The following is a 7,774-nucleotide window of genomic DNA, read 5'->3' on the forward strand; positions in this document are numbered from 1 at the left end:
TACTTCATCGTTTGTTCTCTTGCTCTTCCTTTGTGTGTACGTGTACACATAATTTTTTTCTGAACCATCTGAGAGTAAGTTACATACATCACGGCTCTCAATTCCTAAATACTCCAGTGTACATTTCCTAAGAATAAAGATATGCTCTTATACAACTTCAGTACATGTATCAACTTCATAAATTTATATTGATACATTTATCTAATCATACCATCCATGTTCCAATTATGTCAGTTGATATACTAACGTATATTCTTTATAGCGTTTCCCCTGCTCCAGAAAAAGATCTAATCAAAATCAGGTATTGCATTTAGTTGTCATATTTCTGTAACCTCTCATGCTCTCTAGGCTTTCTTTGTCTTTCATGATATTGACATTTTTTAATTATAGTCGAATGTAAGCAGAATAATGGCCCCCCAAAAATGTTCATGTCCTAATCCCCAGAACCTGTGAATATATTACCTTATATGGCAAAGAGGACTTTGCAGATGTGACAAGGTTAAGGATTTTGAGAAAGGAAGATTAATTCTCCTGGATTATCCAGGTGGGCCCGGTGTAATCACAAGGAGCCTTATGAGAAAGAGACAGGAGAGTCAGAGGGAGAGAGGGAGAGAAGGAGAGAAGGAGAGAAGGAGAGAAGGAGAGAAGGAGAGAAGGAGAGAAGGAGACGTGAGGATGGAAACAGAGGTGAGAGTAATGTGAGTGCTGTCTTTGAAGATGCGAAGGGACCATGAGCCAAGGAATACAAGTCCTCCCTCCCATCTTTTTTTAAACTCTAATTTTCCTTGTTTAGTGTTTGTCTGATGTTTCTTTTCATTAGTTTGAAGTTACACATTCTCCGCTGGAATATAGCATAGGTGGTATCAGGGTGTCCTATCTTGGGACACACAATTTTCATCTGTCTCCCATAGGTGATATAAATTTTGATCACTCCGTCAAGGTGTTGCCCAATTTCTTTTGTGTAGATTTACATGATTTTTTTTTCGTTCTTACAATTAACACGTGGTCTGCTCCTCACCTAAAATTTATCCTAGATTTAGCATCCACCGATGATTCTTGTCTAAACCAATCTTTACTATGATGGCTGCAAATCATGATTGTTTAGCTCCAACACTCTCTCCACAATTACCAGTTGGTCCTCAGCATTCTACAGTAAGCAAGTTCCCGCTCACCTCCTTCATTAATTAATTTACCTATTATGAGTACGGGCTCATGAATTCCTCAGCTTGTGAATTTCTCCCCCAGGAGTTTATAATTCATTCATGTTCTTAATTATTTTATGCTCAAATGCTTCCAGATTTGACCAGGCAGAGCCCTTTCAAGCTTTCTCCTGTGTCCTCATATGCCCCCATCTTTAGAAAAGCATTTTCTCACTGTCTGGCATAACAAAAGGTTCCAGGTTTATCTTATAACTACCCTGCCACAGGGTAGTGGAGTCAGCCACTTCTCCAAGGAACTCTGATGCCTTTTAGTGGAAAATGGTATTAAAGATCAAGATTAACTTTGCTTCTAACATTTTCCACAGAGGGAGAAAATGTATATATGTAGATATACACATAATGTACACACAAATATAAACACACACATATATACATGCACATACGCATACACGTTTTAGGAATGATGAGTTCACATTGATACCTCAAATTCTACCCCATCCCTACAGCATTCTTCCTTGCCTTACCCCATTCTATATTTGTATGTTCCTTCTTTCACAGTGAGAATCCTAACTCCCAACACATCGACACATGTAGTCATTTGCTCAGTTCTATATTAATCTAAAAGAGTTTCAAAATTGTTTCTTGTGTAACACTACTAAAAACTAACCTACTAAAAAAAGTTCAGAATTTGTTCATACTTCTTCCCCTTTCTGCATCCCCTCCCCACATTCCACTCTGGTCCAGAACAAGGATTATATAATTAAAAACTCTTCATAAGTTACTTGGATTTGTTCTTTCTTCTTTGTCCTCCCTCTTCAGTATGGTTATAGTAACCATAAAAAAATGCACTTAGATTAATTTGCTTCCATTTGCTTTCAGATTTAGTCAGGTTTTCCCTTCTAACTCTTACTGATTTTTTAATTTTTAATTTTTGCAGGCACATGGTAGGTGTATGTACTTATGGGGTATTTGAGATATTCTGATACAGGCATACAATACATAATAAACACATCAGGGTAAATGAGGTATCCATCACCTGAAGCATGTATCCTTCCTTTGTGTTACAATCCAATTATACTTTTAGTTATTTTTAAATGTACAATTATTGTGTGCTATCAAATACTAGATCTTGTTCATTCTATCTAATTATATTTTTGTATCCATTAGCCATCCCCACTCCCCTCCCCTCAGACTACCCTCCCCAACCTCTGGTGACCAGCATACTACTCTCTATCTCCAAAATGTGGCTGCTTTATTTTACTTAACATAATGATCTCCACTTCAACCATGTTGTTGCAAATGACATGGCCATTTCATGGCTGAATAGTACTCCAATGTGTATATGTACCACATTTTCTTTTTGAGACAGAATCTTGCTCTGTCGCCCAGACTAGAGTGCAGTGGCATGATGTCAGCTCACTGCAACCTCCACCTCCCATGTTCAAGTCATTCTCCTGCCTTAGCCTCCCAGGTAGCTGGGATTACAGGCACCCGCCACTGCGTATGGCTTATTTTGGTATTTTTAGTAGAGACAGAGTTTCCCCATCTTCGCCAGGCTGGTCTTGAACTCCTGACCTCGTGATCCACCAGCCTCAGCCTCCCAAAGTGCTGGGATTACAGGCGTGAGCCACTGCTACTGGCCACCATATTTTCTTTATCCATTCATCTATTGATGGATACTTAGGTTGATTCCATGTCTTGGCTATTGTGAATAGTGCTGCTATAAACATGGAAGTGCAGATATCTCTTTGATATACTGATTTCCCTTCTGTTGGGTATATACCTTGCAGTGGGATTGCTGGATCATATAGTGGTTCAATTTTTGTTTTTTTGAGGAACCTCTATACTGTTTACCATAGTGAGTGTGCTAATTTTCATTCCCACCAACAGTATACGAGGGTTCCCTTTTCTCCAAATTCTCACCAGCATTCATTACTGCATGTATTTTGGATGTAAGCCATTTTAACTAGGGCGAGATATCTCATCGCAGTTTTGATTTGCATTTTTCTTATGATCAAAGAGTTCAGCACTTTTCCATATACCTGTTTGCCATTTGTATGCCTTCTTTTGAGAAATGTCTATTCAGATCTCTTGCCCATGTTCTAATCAGATTATTAGATTTTTTCCTATGGAGTTATTTGAGCTTCTTATATATTTTGCTTATTAACCCATTGTCAGATGGATATTTTGCAAATATTTTCTCCCATTCTGCAGGTTGTTACTTCATTTTGTTGATTATTTCCTTTGCTGTGCAGAAGCTTTTTAATTTGATGTGATTGATCCTATTTGTCCATTTTTGCTTTGGTTGCCTGTGCTTGTGGGGTATTACTCAAGAAATCTTTGCTCAGACCAATGTCTTGGAAAGTTTCCCCAATGTTTTATTTTAGTGGTTTCATAGTTTGAGGTCTTAGATTTAAGTCTTTAATCAATTTTGATTTGATTTGTGTATATGGCAAGAGACAAGAGTCTATAGTTTTACTCTTCTGCATATGAATATCCAGTTTTCCCAGCACCACTGATTGACGAGATGGTCCTTTCCCTAATATATGTTCTTGGCATCTTTGTCGAAAATGAGTTCAATGTAGATGTATGTATTTGTTTCTGGGTTCTCTATTCTGTTCCCTCTGTTTTTATGTGTCTGTTTTTATGTCAGTACCATGCTGTTTTGGTTACCTGAGCTCTGTAGTATAATTTGAAGTCAGGGAAAGTGATTCCTCCAGTTTTGTTCTTTTTATTCAGGATAGCTTTGGCCATTCTGGGTCTTTTGCGGTTCCATATAAATTTTAGGATTATTTTTTCCATTTCTGTGAGGAACGCCATTGGTATTTTGAAAGGGATTGCATTGAGTCTGTAGATTACTTAGGGTAGTTTGGACATTTTAACAATATTGATTCTTCCAATCCATGAACATGGAATCTTTCCTTTTGTGTGTGTGTGCACTCTTCAATTTCTTTATCAATGTTTTACAGTTTTCACTGTAGAGATCTTTAATTTCTTTGGTTAATTTCTAGGCATTTAATTGTATTTGTAGCTACTGTAAATGGGATTATTTTCTTGATATCTTTTCAGATTGTTTGCTGTTAGCATATGTAAGCACCACTGATTTTGTATGTCGATTTTATATCCTGCAACTTTACTGTATCTATCAGTTCTAATAGTCTTTTCATTGTATCTTTAGGTTTTTCCAAATATAAGATCATATTATCTGCAAAAAGAATGATTTGACTTCTTCCTTTCCAATTTGAATGCCCTTTATTTCTTTTTTGTTGTTTTTGGATTGCTCTAGCTAGAACTTCCAGTACTATGCTGAATAACAATGGTTAAAGTGGACTTTCTTGTCATGTTCCAGATCTTAGAGAAAAGGCTTTCAATGTTTCCCTGTTCTATATGATACTATCTGTTGGTCTGTCATATATGGCTTTGATTATGTTGAGGTATATTCTTTCTATGCCCACTTTTCTGAGAGCTTTCCCCATGAAGGGATGTTGAATTTTATAAAATTCTTTTTCGGCATCAGTTGAAATGATCATATGGTTTTTGTTGTTGTTGTTGTTGTTTTGAGATGGAATCTCACTCTGTCACCCAGGCTAGAGTGCAGTGGCACGACCACCTTCCAATTTTAAGTGATTCTCCCGAATAACTAGCATTATAGGTGTGTGCCACCAAGCCCAGCTAATTTTTGTATTTTTAGTAGAGACAGGGTTTCGCCATGTTAGCCAGGCTAGTCTCAAACTCCTGACCTCAGGTGATCCACCTGCCTTGGCCTCCCAAAGTGCTGGGATTACAGACGTGAGCCACCACACCTGACCCTTTTTCCTTCCTGTCTTCCTGTCTTCCTGTCTCCCTTCCCTCCCCTCGCCTTTTTTCTTTTTCTTTCTTTCTTTCTCTCTCTCTTTCTTTCTTTCTTTCTTTCCTCTCTCTCTCTTTCTTCTTTCTTTCTTTCTTTCTTTCATGCGTCTTTGTTTGATTTTGGTGTCAGGGTAATACTAAATTTGAAAATATCTCACCTCCTGTATTTTTCAGAATAGTTTGACTAGAATTGGTATTAATTATTCTTTAAATGTTTGGTTAAATTCAGCAGTGAAGCCATCAGGTCCTGGACTTTGCCTTTCTGGGAGACTTTTTATTATGACTTCAATCTCCTTACTTGTTATTGGTCTGTTTATGTTTTGTATTTCTTCATCTTGGTAGGTTGCATGTGTCTAGAAACTTATCCATTTATTCTATGTTTTCCAATTTATTGGCATATAGTTGCTCATAATAGCCTCTAAACTCAGTGATTCTTTGAATTTCTGCAGCATCAGTTTTAATGTCTCCTTTGACATCTCTGATTTTACTTATTTGGGTCTTCTCTCTTTTTTCTTTGTCTCACAAAAGATTTGTGAATTTTATCTTTTCAGAACACCATTTCTTTTGTCTCATTGACCTTTCATATTCTTTTCTTCACTTCAATTTTTTTATTTCTGTTCTAGACTTTATTACGCCTTTTCTTCTACTAAGATTGAGTTTGGTTTCCTCTTGATTTTCTAATTCTTTAAGATGCATTGTTAGGTTGTTTATTTGAAGTTTTTCTACTTTTTGGATATAGGTGCTTATTGCTAAAAACTTTCCTCTTAGTACTGCTTTCATTGCATCCCATTGGTTTTGGTATGTTGTGTTTCTATTATCATTTGTTTCAAGAAATTTTTAATTTCCTTCTTAATTTCTTCATTAACCCACTGGTCATTTGGGAACATATTGTTTAATTTCCATGTGTTTGCATAGTTTCCAAAGTTCCTGCTGTTACTGATTTCTAGTTTTATTCCATTGTGGTCAGATGAGACATTTGATATAATTTAAATTAAAAAAATGTAAGATGTGTTTTGTGGCCTAACATATCGTCTTGTCTTTCAGAATGATCCATGCGTTGAGGAGAGGAATGTGTATTCTAGAGTCATTGAATGAAATGTTCTGTAAATATCTGTTAGGTTCATTTGATCTACAGTGCAGATTAAATTCAACGATTCTTTGCTGATTTTCTATATGGATGATCTCTCCAATGATGAAAGTGAGGGGTTGAAGTCTCCAGCTATTATTATTATTATTATTATTATTATTATTATTATTATTATTATTTTGAGATGAAGTCTTGTTCTGTTGCCCAGGCTGGAGTGCAGTAGTGTGATCTCAACTCACTTCAACTTCTGCCTCCCGGTTTCAAGCAATTCTGATACCTCAGCCTCCTCAGTAGCTGGGACTACAGGTGCACACCACCACGCTTGGCTAATTTTTGTATTTTTAGTAGACCCAGGGTTTTGCCATGTTGGCCAAGCTGGTCTCAAACTTCTGGCCTCAAGTGATCCACCTGCCTTGGCTTCCCAAAATGCTGGGATTACAGGCTTGAGCCACCATACCTGGCCTCCAGCTATTATTGTATTGGGGTCTCCCTCCCCTTAATTCTAGTAATATTTGCTTTATATATCTGGGTGCTTCAGTGTTGGGTGCATATATATATATTTACAATTGCTATATCCTCTTGCTGAATTGACCTTGTTGTGATTATGTAATAACTTTCTTTGTCTCTTTTTATAGTTTTTGTTGTAAAATCTATTTTGTCTGATGTAAGTATAGCAACTACTGCTGGGTTTTCGGTTTCTATTTGCATGGAATATCTTTTTCCATTCCTTCATTTTCAATCTATGTATGTCTTTATAGGTAAAGTGTGTTTCTTGTAGGCAACAAATTGTTGGGTCTTGTTTTTTTTTTTTTCTTTTCATTCAGTCACTCTGTCTTTCTATTGGAGAATTTAGTCTATTTACATTCAATGTTATTATTGATAAGTAACAACTTGCTCCTTCCTTTTTGTTATTTGTTTTCTGGTTGTTTTGTGGTCTTCTCTTTCTTCCTTCCTCTCTTCTTATCGTCCTTTTAGTGAAGGTGATTATCTCTGATGGTATGTTTTAATTTCTTGCTTTTTATTTTTTGTGTATCTATTGTATGTTTTTTTAATTTGAGGTTACCATGAGGCTTGCAAATAATATCACCTATTATTTTAAACTGATGACAACATAATACTGATTGCATAAAGAAATAAACAAGCAAAGAGAAAACTAATAAAAACTCTACACTTTAACTTTGTACCCCTGCTTTTTAACTTTTTGTTGTTTCTATTTACATGCCGACGTCTTGAAAAGTTGTCATAATTATTATTTTTTATTGGTTCATGTTTTAGTCTTTCTACTCAAGATAAGGGTAATTTACCCACCACAATTACAGTGTTATAATATTCTGTATACTGGCATATACTAACACCAGTGAGTTTTGTACCTTCAGATGATTTCTTATTGCCCATCTATGTCTTTTTCTTTCAGATTGCAGAACTCCATTTAGCATTTTTTGTAGGACAAGTCTTTTGTATGTCTGAGAAAGTCATTCTCCTTTATGTTTGAAGGATATTTTTGCTGGATATACTATTCTAGGATTAAAGGTTTTTTCCCCAGCACTTTAAATAGGTCATGCTACTATCCTGTCTTGGCCTATAAGGTCTCTACTGAACAGTCTGCTGCCAAATGTATTGGAGCTCCATTATAGGTTATGTGTTTCTTTTATCTTTCTGCTTATATGATTCTTTATTG

Source organism: Homo sapiens, chromosome 14 (assembly GCF_000001405.40).
Source record: "Homo sapiens chromosome 14, GRCh38.p14 Primary Assembly".
Taxonomy (NCBI): domain Eukaryota; kingdom Metazoa; phylum Chordata; class Mammalia; order Primates; family Hominidae; genus Homo; species Homo sapiens.